This window comes from Homo sapiens, chromosome 8 (genome assembly GCF_000001405.40).
Source record: "Homo sapiens chromosome 8, GRCh38.p14 Primary Assembly".
NCBI lineage: Eukaryota > Metazoa > Chordata > Mammalia > Primates > Hominidae > Homo > Homo sapiens.
The window spans coordinates 73,596,687-73,614,861 of record NC_000008.11 but is presented as its reverse complement, the minus strand read 5'-3'; the positions used below and the strand labels follow the sequence as shown (position 1 = coordinate 73,614,861).

General features: G+C 36.9%; 1 protein-coding gene across 7 annotated transcripts in view; it reads left to right on the top strand.

The window, feature by feature from the left end:
• STAU2 (staufen double-stranded RNA binding protein 2) overlaps positions 1-18,175 on the top strand; it is a 327,112-nt gene that overhangs the window by 132,619 nt on the left and 176,318 nt on the right. For all 7 annotated transcript variants that reach the window (NM_001164383.2, NM_001164382.2, NM_001164381.2 and 4 more), the window contains 2 exons: positions 906-1,118; positions 10,999-11,136. In NM_001164383.2, coding sequence (NP_001157855.1) covers positions 906-1,118; positions 10,999-11,136 — 351 coding nt within the window. The remainder of the gene's footprint in view (positions 1-905; positions 1,119-10,998; positions 11,137-18,175) is intronic.

Here is an 18,175-nt window from a genome sequence, read left to right as displayed (position 1 = left end):
GGGAGAGAATGTACTTGAGATCCTATTGGTCCAGCAAGAAATGATACGGAAAATTTGGAAAACCTGTAAAAAGTAATTGCTTATACTAAAAAATTATTGGGATTTTTTTTAAAGGCTACAATGAGTAAGAACAGACAGTTTTATTATTCTTAGGTGTTCTTGGGAACATCAATATATTATGATGTAGGATATCTGATGTTTATAATGATGATCTAATGTGAACAATTAAAGGTTAAATATTTAGTATTGCAGATTAAACAAGGTTTAGGAACATTACATTCATAGTTGACAGGTCCATAACTCATTACTCTAGAAAGCTAGGAATTTTTTTGGCATACCTACTTACCTTTTTAAAATCGTGTCACAAGAATAAATATCCCTTTCTGTAAAACAGCTTTTGACATCCCTATCAAAAACAGCTTATTTTTATCCATTGACTGTTTTTGAGAGGCTTCCACAGGCACAGTGCCTTGTGGTTTATAGAACTACTCGTTTCTCCAGCAACTTACTCGTACATAGGAGGAAGTTAGGTATGTAATTATATACAAATTATCATTCTAGATGACCAATCTAATATGGTATCTAATCTAATGGTATCTTTGATGTTCTTAAATTTGTGTTCCATAAGACATGGAGAAACTGTAATTAGAATGATCTGTTTTAAAGTAATAAATCATTTTGACTATGAATCAAATGTGTTTATTTAGATTTCTTTTGTTTCAATTGCATTAAGCATCAAGTGTCATAAATAGTCCCAGTATAATACCTTCATAATAGCTTTCTTAAAGAAATACTATAATTTTGGCATAATACTAATTTTGGTTTTGATATGAATATTAAGTCATACTTTAAGAATACATCTCAAGTGCCTATCCATTATTTAATATTTTACTTGTATTTAATAGGTTATTAAAGAAAGTGGACCACCACATATGAAAAGCTTTGTTACTCGAGTGTCAGTAGGAGAGTTCTCTGCAGAAGGAGAAGGAAATAGCAAAAAACTCTCCAAGAAGCGCGCTGCGACCACCGTCTTACAGGAGCTTAAAAAACTTCCACCTCTTCCTGTGGTGGAAAAGCCAAAACTATTTTTTAAAAAACGCCCTAAAACAATAGTAAAGGTAAGTTTATATTTGTGAACATCAGTCAGTTTTACTAAATAAATATTATAGTAGCTATAGATAAGCATTTTTCTATAAGGCAGATCCCTGAACTTATGGACTATATACAGTCCTGAAATGAGGGCAGGACATGTGACTATAAATTAATGACAATTCTATTTTGCTTTTTAAATACCTGTGCACCTGCATTTGTACATCAAATAATCATAATACCTTAGGTATTTATGTATTTCTTTGTTGTTTAAAAAGTGCTTTACCATTCATGTCACCTTTACTATAATCCCCCTCATGACCGTATAAGGTAGATGATGTTAGCCCTCATTTTACAAATAAGATTTTACAAAACGTGTTCAAAGAGTTTGCCCATTTTTATTCAGCAATCATGTCAAACCTCCTGAACCGCTCTGATCTCTAATCCAGTGTTCTTTCTGCACACATGGCTGTTGCATAGTAACTTCTTAGGATATCATGAAATGGTAACAGGATACACACAAAAAAATCATGTGACTAATACTAACAATGATAGCTACAGCAGCTGGAAATCATAAAGCAGTCTATGTGCCAGACTTTGTCCCAACACTTTGCATGCTTTAATCACATTTAATCCACATAGCAACCATATGAAGTAGATGGTGTTATTTTGTTGCCATTCGTTCAGATGTGTATACCTTGCCAAAGAAGAATATAGAGCACACAGCTTTTCAAGATATTGTGACTCTTTTATTGGGTCAGAATTTATTTACATTAATAAGAGAAGCAAGGTAAATATCAGAGGAATGAGATGAATCAGCATTTAGTACAGGACAGTGCCTGTGAATGCTTGACACGTATGACATGTCTGGAGCTAGAGTTCTGTGTTTCCAGAGAAAGCCTTAAATTGCCAGCATTTTAGTTGCTGGCTCAGCCTCACTGATTTAGCAGCCTTCTTCTGATCAGGCTATACAAATGAAGGATTACAGATAAGAAATATATTTAATCTCAATGGATTTCTTTTGATTGCACAATGGCACAATTTAGGTATTTTTACAGGTTTTATACCTTTGTACCTTTATTTAAAATACATATATACATATATACAAAAATAACTACTTAAATATTTGTTTTTAATGAATACTGACATGACTTCACTTAGAAGATGTAGTAGGTAATGCATTCCCTGAACTGGAATTATATGTTATATGTAAGGTAGACTAAAAATAAATACAAATAGATCCACTTATCATGAGTCATAGTGGTTCCAAAGAGGACTGGCACTTTCATTCATATGCTCCTCCTACACAGTCAGGAGTAGAATATAGCTATTAAGAGAATGAACTTTGGAGTCAGTTCTGAGTATGAATCCCTGTGGCCTGAGCAAGTTACCTAACTTTAAAAATATTTCTTCATTTATAAAGTGGGAATAGTAACTGACCTTGCTGTATGGGATTGTTATAAGTATTAACTGAAACAATGCACAAAATGCATTAGTAATTATTAAGTATTCATTGTTATTAATGATAATGCAAATACTATAATAAATAACACATATTAACTATTGGTATTTTGTATCTAATACTACCTATTCACATTTTATGTTTATGTGAATATATCCATGAACTGTTTTCTTAAATCTATTAATATATAAAATCTATGGCTTTTCTGTGATGGAGGAACAGCATTTTATGTTGGAATGGTGGCACAAAACTGGTCACATAACTTCTGTCTGCTCTATTAAACTAAGTTTTATCTTGATAAATTAAGAATAATAAACCAGGCAAACCAGGCTGGGCACGGTGGCTCATGCCTGTAATCCCAGCACTTTTGGGAGGCTGAGGCGGGTGGATCATTTGAGGCTAGGAGTTCGAGACCAGCATGGCCAACATGGCGAAACTTGGTCTCTACTAAAAATACAAAAATTAGTCGGTTGTGGTGGCATGCGTCTCTAATCCCAGCTACAGCTCAGGAGGCTGAGGCATGAGAATCGCTTGAACCTAGGAGGCAGAGGTTGAGGTGAGCCAAGATCACTGCCACTGCACTCCAGCCTTGGTGACAGAATGAGATTCCATCTCAAAATGATAATAATAATAATAATCATAATAATAATCATCATAATAAACTGTTAGGCTGGAAAAGATCTGTACATTTCTATAGTAGGATATAAATCTAACTCTTGTTTTAACTATAGCTATTAAAAGCAAGATTATTATTTAAATGTTATTCCCCAGAGGTGGGAGACAGGAGAAACATTTTGAATTCTCAGTTATTTGCTACTGCTTCCAGTATATAAGTAATATTATCCCAGAACTTCCCTCCTATGCATCATTCAGATCTCAGCATAAACTTGACTTTTTTAGGAACTCCTCTGGTCCTCTCCTACTCCCAGACTAGGTTAGCCTCCTGCATTTTTCCTCATATACATCACACTTGGAGTTACTTTTGCCATGTCTGTCTTATGTTAAAATAAAGCTTGTAGATACCCTCTGAAATGTAAGATTATTTTGAGAGAACAACATGTGTATAATGAGTTGGAATCTAGATAATTTTAAGTATGTTCATACCTTATAATATGTCAGTAAATGGATCAGCTTGGAATAGTATCCTGATTTTTAGCATATTCCTCACTTCCTTGTATGGCTTATACATTGAGGGTCTATAGTTTGTTACACTCAATGGAAGCAGGTAAAATATCTATGATTATTTGCCTTGGTTTTATTTAAAGTAATAAAATAATCACATTGTCTCATTTGATCACTTAATCACTCTGTGATGCAGCATTCATTTCCATCTTACAGATGAGGCCCTTTATATTTAAGAAACCTATCCAAGATCCTGTAGCAGAATCAGCTTTCAGATCCAGTTGTCACATCTGACTCCAGTGCCCATTTGATATTGGTTAATTGTGAACTTTTGGATTTTCAGAGTCACTGTATAGGGTTATCCTGTTAACATGTAAAACTGCCCTGATAATGTCTTTGTGTTTACATTCTGTTTTTAAATGTAATTCTCCTCTATAAGACGAGACTACAAAGAAGGCTTTCTAATCTTAGAGATCAAATGTTCTGGACACAATTATTACAAGACTGTCCTTATTGGTATATAGAATGATGATTTAAGATTTGCTGTCCAAGGAATAACTTAATTGTCAAGGGTGCTGGTAGTTCATTTCAATCAGAGCAAGAAACCAAGTCATCCCCTCCCCCGCTGCCTTTTTTTTTTTTTTTTTTTTGAGACGGGGTCTAACTCTGTCTCCCAAGCTGGAGTGCAGTGGCACCATGATCTTGGCTGGCTGCAACTTCTGCCTCCTGGGTTCAAACGATTCTCCCATGTCAACCTCCAGAGTAGCTGGGACTAGGCATGTGCCACCATACCTAGCTAATTTTGGTATTTTTTGGTAGAGATGGGGTTTCACTGTGTTGGCCAGGCTGGTCTTGAACTCCTGACCTAAAGTGATCTGCCTGCCTTTGCCACCCAGAGTTGTTTTTTTTTTTTTTAAACAGGGTCTCACTTGTTGCCCAGGCTGGAGTGCAATGGTAGGATCTCAGCTCACTGCAGCTTTGATTTTTCTGGTCTCGAGTGATCCTCCCACCTCCCAAGTAGTTGGGACTACAGGCACAACACCACCATGCACAGCTAATTTTTTGTATTTTTTGTAGAGACAGGGTTTTGCAACGTTGTGCAGGCAGGTCTCAAACTCCTGGGCTCAAGTGATCTGCCTACCTTGGCCTCCCAAAGTGCTGCGATTAAAGGCATGAGCCACTGTGCCCAGCCCCAAGCAATTCTTAATGTACACTGAACTCCATCATTATCTAAATTGGATTTATGTATCTGATTCTTTTCATTGCAATCTATATCAACAATAATTTCCTTGGAACTCAGAGACATTCTTTGAGTCAAATTAAACAGAAATAAAGACAGTATGCCACTGGAAACACATTCCTACTTATTTAACATCTTCATGAACTGGGCATACTACTTCTAGTGCTAGACTCAGAGCTTCTCTTTACCTTTTCATTGGGATTTCAATCTTAGACTTATAAATTATTATGTGGATTTGTCTTTTCTCATCAGTCCCTCTTCATTCCCCTTATAATTAATTTAATTTTTTTTTAATTGAGACAGGGTCTCGCTCTGTTGCCAGGCTGGAGTGCAATGGCATGATCTCGGCTCACTGCAACCTCCACCTCCTGGGTTCAATCGATTCTCCTGCCTCAGCCTCCCGAGTAGCTGGGATTACAGGTGCACACCACCATGCTCAGCTAATTTTTTTGTATTTTTAGTAGAGACAGTGTTTAACCATGTTGGCCAGGCTGGTCTTGATCTCCTGACCTCATGTTCCACCTGCCTCGGCCTCCCAAAGTGCTGGAATTACAGACATGAGCCACCGCGCCCGGCCCTTTATTTAATTTTTTTTTTCAGGATATAAGTGGAAGTTGAAACCAGTATTTTATCAAAAGCTAAAAGTTTCCTTTGCTCTTTCCTTTCCCTTCATCTAACCATTGCAACAGTGAAGTTCTCAGTCTTTTTCCTCCTCTTTCCCTAAGCTGTTCTTCTACTTCTGGGGGTTCAATTTCATCTTTAAATAGATGATTCCTGAATACCGTATGCTCTGCACTACCTATTAGACATCCCCACTTAGTATTTCACAGGTGCCTCAAGTTTTGGGCCCAAATTCATCATTTTCCCTTCTAAACCTCTTTCTCCTGCAGCATTCTTTATCTCAGTGACTGGCACAAACATCCAGCTGCTGAAACTGCTGGGGGTCATTTTTAACTTCTCTTTTTTTTTGAAGATGGAGTTTTGCTCTTGTTGCCCAGGCTGGAGTGCAATGGCACTGTCTCGGCTCACTGCAACCTCTGCCTCCTGGGTTCAAGCGATTCTCATGCCTCAGCTGGGATTACAGGTGCCCACCACCATGCCCGACTAATTTTTGTATTTTTAGTAGAGATGGGGTTTCACCATGTCGGCCAGGCTGGTCTTGAACTCCTGACCTTGTGATCCACCCACCTCAGCCTCCCAAAGTGCTGGGATTACAGGCGTGAGCCACTGCGCCCGACGTTTAACTTCTCTCTTACCCCTTACGTCCTATCAGTCATTAAGTCCTATTACTCTGTTAGCTAATATTTCTTTTTTTTCTTTTTCTTTTTTTTTTTTTATGGGACGGAGTCTTGCTCTGTCACCCAAGCTGGAGTGCAGTGGCATGATCTTGGCTCACTGTAACCTCCGCCTCCTGGGTTCAAGCAATTCTCCTGCCTTCCTCAGCCTCCTGAGTAGCTGGGATTACAGGCGTGCGCCACCACGCGTGGCTAATTTTTGTTTTTTTAGTAGAGACGGGCTTTCACCATGTTGGTCAGGCTGGTCTCGAACTCCTGACCTTGTGATCCGCCCTGCCTTGGCCTCTCAAAGTGCTGGGATTACAGGAGTGAGCCACTGTGCTTGGCCTTGTCACCTAATGTTTTTTAAGTTGGTTCCTTTTTTTCCATCCCTTCTGCCACTCTTTTGTCCAACTCACAGACATCTATTAACCTGAACTACTACAGTTAAGGTTTTAACTGGCTACAAGTACTCTTGACACCAAATGATCGTTTAAAAAGTATGATCTTTTAGAGACACCTGTCTAATCATATCATGCCTCTGCTTAAAACCTCTTAGTAATTTTCTTACTCTTTGGATAAAGTCCAAAATCCTAAACATAGTTTGAAAGACCATGAGGGATCTGCCTGGATGCTGTACCTGGAGCACCAAACTACAGATTGTCAAGATGAAATGGCAGCAATCATCCGGAAGAGCTAAGACTGCATAGTGGCTCTTACATAAGTTTAGTGTAACGTGTAATCTGTAACAGAGTGATTATCCATGTCTCCATGTCTCTACAGATAGTAGAGACAAGAATAAATTTTCATAGGTGGAAATAAAGTTTTGACCGTATGATATACGCAGACTTTTATTTCTAGGAAAAATACATGAAGAAAGTTCATATGCAGAAAGATAATTTGGTTTCCAAGAATTTTTGCTTTTTTTTTTTTTTTTGAGACGGAGTTTCGCTCTTGTTGCCCAGGCTGGAGTGCAATGGTGTGATCTTGGCTCACCGCAACCTCCTCCTCCCAGGTTAAAGTGATTCTCCTGCCTCAGCCTCCCTAGTAGCTGGGATTACAGACATGTGCCACCATGCCCGGCTAATTTTTTGTATGTTTTTTTTTAGTAGAGATGGGGTTTCTCTGTGTTGGTTAGGCTGGTCTCGAACTCCCGACCTCAGGTGATCTGCCCGCCTCGGCCTCCCAAAGTGCTGAGATTACAGGCATGAGCCATCACGCCCGGCCTGAATTTTTGCTTTTATGTTATAATACATACAAAAAGCTATATATAAACTTGTGTATAAGTTAAAAAGCATACTAAGTAAGTGTGAGAAAGACCTACTGCCCAACTTGAGTATAAAACATTTCTCAATAAGCTTTGAAGCTCTCTGTATGCTCTTCTTCCATCACGTCCTCATGCAACCTTCCCTAGGCAACCTCTATCACTAGTTTTGTATGACCATTTCCTACCTTATAGTTTTACTATGTTTGTTTTTCTAAAGTTATTTGTTTAGTTCCTTTAAACAACTTTATTGAGGTATAATTGACATAGAGTGACTTGTACATGTTTAAAGTGCACTGTTTGATATGTTTTCGTATTTGTTTGCATGTGTAAAACTATAACCACCATCAAGATAATGAACCCATCCATTCCTCCCAGAATTTTCCTTATGCCCCTTTGTAATCTTCTACCTTAATTTGCCGAGAAACCACTCTTTTTTTTGGCTGGCTTCTTTAACCCAGCATAATTATTTTGAGATTCATCCTTATTGTTGCATGCATGAATTGGTAGTTCTGTTTTTTTGCAGGTAATATTTCATTGAATTGATATACCACCACTTGTTTATCCATTCACCTGTCAGTGGATATTTGGGCTGTTTCTAATTTTTGATTGTTACTCATAAAGCAGCTATGAATATTTGTGTGTGTATCTTAAGAGCATATGCTTTCATTTCTCTTGGGTAAATCCTTCAAAGTGGAATGGCTTGGTCATTTAGTAGGTATATAGTCAACTTTAGTTTTTCAAAGTTGTAGCAGCTGTGCACTTTTACATTCTCATCAGCAGTGTGTGATAACTCCAATTGTTTCACATCCTTGCTAACACCTAGCATAGTTTTTAAAATTTCAGATGTTCATGTAGATGGGTATTGATATCTCATTTTGGTTTTAATTTACATTTCCTCTGTGGCAGATGATATCAAGAATTTTTTATGTGTTTACTGTCACATGAGGCCTGATGAAGTGTTTATTTAAATTTTTTGCCAGCTTAACAAATTTTAATTGCTTATTTCAAATAATAATAAATTTATTATTGAATTTTTAGAGGTCTTTATATACTCTGGATACAGGTGCTTTATTACATATGTACTTTGCAAATATTTTCTTCAAGTCTGTGACTTGTCTTTTTCAAAGAGCAGAAGTTATTAATTTTGAAGATTTATTATGTTTATTTTATTATTATTTATATTGTTTCATTTTATTATTATTAGTTTTTTTACATGGAACGTGATTTTGGTGTTATATCTAAGAAATTGTTACCTAACCAAGTTACAAAAATTTTTCTTCTGGAAATCTTATAGTTTTAGAAATTACATTTACGTCTGTGAGGCATTTTGAGTTAATTATTTTTATAAATGTTATGAGGTTTGGCTTGAAGATTTTTTTTTCTTTTTCTTTTTCTTTTTACATATGAATAGCCAATTGTCCCAACACTATTGGCTGAAAAGACTACCCCACTGAATTCCTTTTGTGCCTTTGTTGAAAATCATGTGACCGTGTGTGTGTGTGTGTGTGTGTGTGTGTGTGTGTGTGTGTATGTGTGTGTGTGTGTGTGTGTGTGTGTGTGTGTGTATGTGTATGTGTGTATATATATCTGTGTCTGGGCACTTATTCTGTTTCATTGGTCCCTTTGTCTGTCTTTATACCAATACTACACACACTGTCTTGAATGCCATAGTTTTATAATCTTGAAATTAGGTAGTCTGAGTCTTTTTTTTTCCCCCAAAATTTTGGTTCTTTGTCCTTTGCATTTCCATATGAATTTTAGTATCAGCTTACACATTAAATTTTAAAAAGCCAACTGGGGGCCAGGTGCGGTGGCTCATGCCCGTAATCTGAGCACTTTGGGAGGCCGAGGTGGAAGGATCACTTGAGGTCACGAGTTTGAGACCAGCCTGGCCAACATGGTGAAACCCTGTCTCTATGAAAAATACAGAGATTAACCAGGCATGGTGGCGTGCGCCTGTAGTCCCAGCTACTCAGGAAGCTTAGGCAAGAGAATCGCTTGAACCCAGGATACAGAGGTTGCTGTTAGCTGAGATCATGCCACTGCACTCCAGCCTGGGCAACAGAGTGAGACTCTGCCAAAAAAAAAAAAAAAAAAAAAGGAAAAAAGCCTACTGGGATTTTGAGGAGAATTGACATCTTATTGTTGAGTCTTCTGATCGATGAACATGATGTATTGACTATTTAGATCTTAATTTCAGCAGTATTTTGTAGTTTTAGCAGGCTTTACATAAAATATACTATATATATATTATTCTGTAGCTTGCCTTTTTTACTTACTATTCTTTCTGAAAATCATTCATCTTGATGCATGTAGCAATAATTAATTCATTTTCACTGCTATATACCATTCCATTATATGAACATGCTGTAATTTATCTGTTCTTTTATTGATGAATATTCTAGTTTTTTTTTCCTATTTCAAATAATGCATCTGTGGATATTCCTGTACATATGAGCTACTGTGCATGGGTTACGGTTTTCTAGGGTTTATATGTGCCTAGGAATAGGCTAATTGGGGTAGGATGTACCATCTCAGGCTTTACTAGACATTGCCAGGTTGTTTTCCGATTTATAGTACTCCCAGTGTTTTATAAGAGTTTCTGTTACTCCCCATTCTCACCACTTGGGGCTGTTAGACTTCTTAATTTTTGCTAATTTGGTGGATGTGAAATAGTAACTCACTGAGGTTTTTAATATGTATTTTCTGTGTCCTAGAGGTTAGTTATCATTTCATATATTGAGTTTTTCCTTATGTGAAGTATTTATCTCTTTTGCCCATTTCCCTTTTATATTCTCTTTTTCTTAGTACTTTTTAGGGGTCTTAAAAAATATATTTTGGATACCGGATACGTCTTTTTAAAATTATGTGTGTTGTGGCCGGGTGCTGCGGCTCACACCTGTAATCCCAGCACTTTGGGAGGCCAAGGCCAGTGGGATCACCTGAGGTCAGGAGTTCAAGATCAGGTTGGCCAACATGATGAAACCCCATCTCTACTAAAAATATAAAAATTAGCTGGGCATGGTGTGGGCGCGCCTGTAGTTCCAGCTATTTGGGAGGCTGAGGCACGAGAATCGCTTGAACCCGGCAGGTGGAGTTTGTGGTGAGCTGAAATTGCACTACCACACTCCAGCCTGGGCGACAGAATGAAACTCTGTCTCAAAAAAATAAATAAAATAAAATAAAATGATAATGTGTTGCAGAGATCTCCTCCCAGTTCATGGTTGGTCTTCTTCTGTTCTTTTTGATGTTTCTTGATGAACAGAAGTTGTGAAGCACCTCTGGTATACTGAAGAGTGTGCCCAATTTAAAAAGCATAGTTGACACCTTGCCATTAATACATCTAAGCCCCAAGTCCCATAGAAGCCTTGGTTACAGGTCTATTTTATGATTTTCCTTTATAAATATTCATAAATGACTCATTTATCTTTTCTAGTCACAGTTTTGGGGTGTGGGGGTGGAGGGAAGAAGCACTGTTTCTTTAAGGATTCAATAACAGGTTTCACAAGCATATTTTAAAACTTTTTCTTAAATTAATTTTTAGGCCGGACCAGAATATGGCCAAGGGATGAACCCTATTAGCCGCCTGGCGCAAATTCAACAGGCCAAAAAGGAAAAGGAGCCGGATTATGTTTTGCTTTCAGAAAGAGGAATGCCTCGACGTCGAGAATTTGTGATGCAGGTATTTCTAACCTTTTAAAACTATTGAAAAGATTTAGAAATCCCCAGGATGGAATAGGCATTTGGGCGAAAGGCAAACTAGGACTTAAGAGCAGAAAGTAAAACTGTTTCCAGTTAAAGCATTCATTCTGTCCAGGCTCACCTACCAACTTGGTGGAAACATTCAAGTGTCAAGGACATGTTACAATAGACAACATGAGTTTTCCAAGGGACTCTGAGTTCACACAGGTTATTTACCATGGAGTTTATCATTTAATGCCTATCTTTTAACTTTTTGTGTTACATTTTGTAGCCGGAGTCTGTTAACTACTGGGAATTGGAGACACATGGAATTAGAAACAAAATTTAGAAGGATGGATGTAGTAGATGGATCAGGGCCAAAATCCTGAGCTTGTGGGCTGTCAGGAAAGTTAGAAAAAGAGAGTAAGCAGGCTAGCTAACCATGGTGGGGGCTGAGGCACTCAGGATTGCTGAGATCTGACTGCTGCATTGTGGAGCCAAGAAAATCAAGGAATGGCTGCTAGTGTATTGGCAGATGGGCTAGGAATGAAGTAGAATGCCTAAAATGCTCTCCTTTTCAACCCCTACCTATTCATCTTCATTTGCCAGCTCAAACTCCAGTCTTAAGAAATTTTTCTTTTACTTTTTTATTACAATTTCAAACATATCCAAAGGTGGGGAGAGAATAATAATGGACCATTAATATGCCCATCACTCAAACACAACAGTTATTAAGATTTTTGCCACACTTGATTCAGCTATTAATTTTTCTCTTCTCCCTCTCTTTCTTCCTTTCTCTCTTCTTTTACTGAAGTATTTCAAAGATAATTTCTAACTACATGTCATTTCAGCCTTACATATTCAGTGTATGTTTCTAAGAAATATGAAAGCTTTTCTTACATTAGACATGATTCATTAGAATCATCTAATACCCAGTCTATATTTAAATTATTATTTTCCCCAAGCTGTTTTTTAATTTTTTGTTTTTTTTTTTTTTTGGTGGGGCAACAGGGTCTTGTTCTGTCAGCCAGGCTGGAGTACGGTGGCATGATCATGGCTCACTGCAGCCTTGATTTCCTGGGCTCAAGAGATCCTCCCTTTTCAGCCTCCTGAGTAGCCTAGGATTACACGCATACACTACCATGGCCAGCTAATTAAATGTTGTTTTATTGTTGTTGTTTATAGCAACAGGATCTTACTATGTAGCCCAGGCTAGTCTTAAACTCCTGGCTTCAAGTGATCCTCCTGCTTCAGCCTCTCAAAGTGTTAGGATTACAGGCGTGAGCCACTGTGCTTAGTCTCAAACTGTTTTTTAAATAATTGGTTAGTCACAGAAACTTTTTAGTCAAATCCAAGGATCTCACATTTTATGTAACTTAGATAAAATCAACAAATATTAAGTGCTGACCATGTGGTAGACATTTTGGCACTCAAATACAGTGTCTCATATTGATTAAGTTTAAGTGTATAGCTAAGTTGTGCCTTCCCTCCCAATTTATAATCTCCATGTTTCTTTATCTTTCAGTACCCAATACAGTGGTTTGTAAATAGTAGGACCTTAATAAACATTTGATAGATATTTGCTGCCTGCCTTTCTGCCTGTATGGTTTTTTTTTGGAGATGTTAACTTATAATGTAGTCATAGATAAGTCACTCCTGGGAACCCAGATATCCAAAAAGAGGGGAATTCTCTGGTTAGTAATCACATTATTGTCAAGATGTTATTAGGATCCAGCACATGATTGTTTCATTATTTTCACTGGTAAAATATGTTCACTATTTTTTTCCTTAACATTCTTAACTTTGAAGAATTCTGGAACATATACTTTGAATGCCAAAGCTTGAAGAAAAAAATCGCCTGAATTTTAGACATGTATTGGGAATATAAACTGGCTTTGGCTTTATTAAACAAATCCTTTTCTACAGAGTATATTGAGTACCCCTTTTGAAAGAGGAATTTAGCATATCTTAGGCCAGCTTCCATTTTATGGGTATTCATAAACATTCTAGTCAAATGGGGACATTTGGCTGTGCTTTTAAATGTTTTCGCACTGAATTCATATTGTTTTTTCCCCTTCTGGAAGCCCCAGTGGATTCATTACAGTATTGCAGCAATTTTATCAAAGTAACGGCCTTTGTATAAACTACTTAGGCAATGTTATCATTTGTTATAATTGAATGTGGCAGCAAAATATCTAGAGATGAGATGCTCATTTTTATCTGTTACCAAAGAAAAAGTCTATATATTAAAAAATGGATGCAGTTACTTATGTTGATTACTAGATAAACGAAAGAAAATCTCCGATGACATTATTTGGGTATTTTATTCCAGAGCAGATTTCTTAAAGCTTTTCATTTTTTTGGTGAGGAGTATTTTAATCTTTCAAACAGAAAATAATGATAACTAAACCAAATTGCATATCAGCACACTGTATTACTAACTTTTCAGCCTGTGATTGAGATCACCAGGTTGTTAAAAAATAAATAAAAATTAAGTTTTTGGTAAATCCTATTTCAGAACTTTTTAGTTTCTTAGGTTTTTGAGGATTTGATTCATGTGAATGAGCTGTTAAATTTAAAGACAAACATTTGGCAGTCTTAAATTTACTGCATGGTAAAATAATTGAGCTTCTTTACAGATAGAAATTAACATTTAAATGTAGAGACCATATTTACAATAGTTATAAAATTTGTGACTTCTCAAGGAAGATGACTTGTGAAATTTATAAACTTACTTAACTTTTATAATAAAGTGATGTTTTGAGTGACCATTGTGTTTATTAGCAGGGAATGAAAGTCCTTTGGCAATGTGGTCTTTTTATATTAACAAATTAGGATAACTGCTTACAAACTATTCAACCATGCGATTATTAAAATTTGCATGAGGCAAGGGCTGGGTGAATGGGTAAATGAATCTGGGAAGCACTTGTTTTAGAAGAAGTAAGTCTTGAAGGTATCAGAATAGGCCAGATGGAAATCTAGCAGACGGAGAGACAAGGTGAATACAGGAATGGGAACAGCATTACAGCTGACAAGTCCAAGACCAGGCCTCAGAGCAGTAGAGGAAGCTTCTGACATAACTGGCCTAATCTTTTCACCAGCAAGGATTCCAGCAGCAACATAGGGACTGATGAAGCTGGGGGAACAAACAAAGCATTGGAAAAAATAACAGGGAGCAGAGGTACTCTAGCCAGGGATTTGAGTAGATTATCCATAGGGCCTGCCATGTTGAGGCAGACACTGTTACGGCAGGTGGTGTGTATTCATCTGGCTCTGAGTACCTGGTCTGACTGTACTAGATTTGTCCTTCTCAGAGTGAGGTCCAAAGACTGCTTCTGATTTGTCACGACATAGTGGTTTCCAGTTTCAGAAAAAAAGGCAATGAAATATTTAAAAAATATTTCACAGGTTTAAACTATGCAATTTGTGATAGTTGTTACAGAAATTCTGTAATGAATATGTTTTCAGCGTTTCATGTGCTGTATGAACTGTCATTTAGTTTGTCTTTACTGAAACTCTGTTAAAAGAGAGTACAGCACCTTTTTTATATCATTTGTACATTGTTTATGTTTAAGTTTGTATTTTCTTACCATTTTGTTGTATATTCTCCCAGTTCCTTAAAATTGGGTGGTTCACTGAAGCTTAAAAGTACTGTTGGAGGCTGGGCGTGGTGGCTCACGCCTGTAATCCCAGCACTTTGGGAGGCCGAGGCAGGTGGATCACGAGGTCAGGAGATCGAGACTATCCTGGCTAACACAGTGAAACCCCGTCTCTACTAAAAATACAAAAAAATTAGCCGGACATGGTGGTGGGCACCTGTAGTCCTAGCTACTCGGGAGGCTGAGGCAGGAGAATGGCATGAACCCGGGAGGCGGAGCTTGCAGTGAGCCGAGTTTGCGCCACTGCACTCCAGAACCTGGGTGACAGAGCGAGACTCCGTCTCAAAAAAAAAAAAAGTACTGTTGGAAATAATAACACAAATAAAAACTGTAAATAAGGATGTAAGAATAAATGATGAACAGTACTCAAGTGTGGATACCAAATGGGAATCTGTATGTTCTGGGACAGATGAAACAGCCAATATTATGATTTTACACAATAGACAAAAAAGAAAAGTATGGTTAGAGTATCATGCTGTATAGCTGAAAACTGAATTTTGTTGTCATTGTGAAATGTATTAAAGTGGCATGAAACTATTATTGAAACTTTCTAACTTTTTTTTAAGTAAAATGATAACTGGTAAAACAATTCAACTTTTCAGATATGGATTGCCCACTTTTCTTGCTCATTTTTCTGCTCGTTTTTTAAAAAAACTGATATATGGGAACCTCCTGTATATTCTGGATGCAAGCCCTTTGCAGTTATATGGCATTTTAAATACCTCCTCTTGTGTTGTGACTTTCCTTTCTAAATAATGCTTTTAGAAGAACAAGAGTAATTTTTAGTGTAGTCAAATTTAAATTTTTTCTTTATATTAACTTCATAATAAGTCTAGATATCCAGACAAATAAGTGTCCCACACCTTGCTCTTCCTCAAAAGGATTTTGGCTGTTCTTAGCACTTCACATTTCCATGTAAATTTTGGAATCATCTTGTTCAAGTATTGTAAAAAGATATATGGAATTTTGATTGAGTTTTCATTGAGTTCAATTAATTGAGTTTAGGTCAATTTGAAGAGAACTGATACTATTACATTAGTATTGTCTTCAATCCATGAACATGGCATTTTGCTCTGTTTATGAGGTTTTTCTTAAAGTTTCTCAATAAGACTTTGTTTTCTATGTAGAAGATTTGCACATCATAGGTATTTGATTTTCATTTAATGTAAATGTTATCTTTTTAATATTTTTCATCTTCTACTTGAATGTGGATGGAATGTAGAAATGCAGTCCTCTTTTTCATACTGAGCTTATTACAATCTAATCAATTCTTATAATTCATCTGTGGAGTTTCTTAGATTCCTTATATATGAAATCACATCTATAAATAATGAGTTCTTTTCCCTTCTGCTTCTTTTTTTACTTTTCCTTGCCTTATTTCTCTGTCTAGGATTTGTGTAAACTGTTAAACAGTAGTAATAATAGGGAACATCCTTGTCTTGTTTCTAATTAGTTTCGTTCAACATTAAGTACAGTGTTTCCTGAGGTTTGCTGTAGGTGTTTTGTAAAATGCCCTTTATCATATTTAAAAGGTTTTCTTCTACTGGGCGTGGTGGCTCACACCTGTAATCCCAGCACTTTGGGAGGCCGAGGTGGGCGGATCACGAGGTCAGGAGATCGAAACCATCCTGGCTAACACGGTGAAACCCCATCTGTACTGTAAATACAAAAAATTAGCCGGGCATGGTGGCGGGCACCTATAGTTCCAGCTACTCAGGAGGCTGAGGCAGGAGAATGGCGTGAACCCGGAAGGTGGAGGTTGCAGTGAGCCGAGATTGTGCCACTGCACTCCAGCCTGGGTGACAGAGTGAGACTCCATCCCAAAAAAAAAAAAAAAAAAAGTTTTCTTCTTTTCCTAGTTTGCTAATAATTTTCATTATGAATAAATGTCGATTTCTAGTTTGAATTTCAAATGTTAAACCAAACTTGCATTCCTGCAATAAACCTAACTTTGTCATGAATCTTTTTCTTTTTCTATATTGCTTTATTCATTATACTGTTTAAAACTTTTGCATCTATGTTCATGAGTGAAACTGTTCTGTAAATTTTCTTATACTGTTCTTGTTGGGATTTGGAATCAAAATGAGAGCTCATAAAATAATTGGGGACTGATTTCTCATTTCGTGTTTTATGGATGAATTTGGATGAAAAGAATAGCATAATTCTTCCTTAAATATTGAGTAGAACTTTATGGAGAAGATCTGAAGAGTCCTTTTTGCGAAGTTTTTAATTATGGTTTGATTTCATTAGTAGTTTTAGTCATATTCTTTAGGCTTATTCTGTGGCAATTTGGTAATCTGTATTGTCTAGGAATTTTTCCATTGTATCTAAATATGTTTTTAAATTTTAGCATGAAATTGCTCTCAGTATTCCTTTTTTTTTTTTTTTTTTTTTTTTTGAGACAGAGACTCACTCTATCGCCCAGGCTGGAGTGCAGTAGCATGATCTCGGCTCACTGCAGCCTCTTTCTCCTGGGTCCAGGCAATTCTCCTGCATCAGCCTTTCAAGTAGCTGGGATTACAGGCACTTGCCATCATGCCTGGCTAATTTTTTTTTTTTTTTTATTTTTGTATTTTTAGTAAGACAGGGTTTCACCATGTTGGCCAACCTGGCCTCCAACTCCTGACCTCAAGTGATCCACCTGCCTTGGCCTCCCAAAGTGCTGAGATTACAGGTAGTGAGCTACTCCACCCGGCCTCAGTAATCCTTATTATTTTGTAATGCTACAGAAGTGATGGTAATCTCCCTTTTTAATTATTTCATTTCTTATTTGTGTCTTCTCTTCTTCTTTTCTTTTTTAAAAATACCCATCTCAGAGAAGAACTCGTATTTTTTTTCTTGATCAGTCTTACTTTTGGTTTATTGTTTTATTAGTCTTATTAGAGAACCAACTTTTGGCTTTTCTAACTTTATTGTACTTTGTTTTGTATTTCCTTTTTGCTTTTTATTCTTCTATTTTCTCTGGGTTTGTTTTGCTGATATGTTTGGGACTTCTTGAGGTGGATGTTTAGCTCATTACTTTTTTGCCCTCCTGTAAGCTGTTAACGGCTATGCATTTTCTTCTAGACCCTCCTTTTGCTGTGTCCTTCAAGTTTTGATATATGTCCATGGATTATTTAAAATATTTTCTAGTTTTCACTGGAATTTCTTCTTTTGCCCTTAGGTAATTTGGAATTACATTGTTTATAAAATTTTTAATTTTTAATTTTAATTTTTTTAGAGATGTGGTCTTACTCTGTTGCCCAGGGTGCAGTGTGGTGATGTGATCACGGTTCACTGCAGCCCTGAACTCCTGGGCTCAAGCAGTCTTCCCACCTCAGCCTCCCAAGTAGCTGGGACTACAGCCATGCACCATCATGCCTAGCTAATTAAAATTTTTTT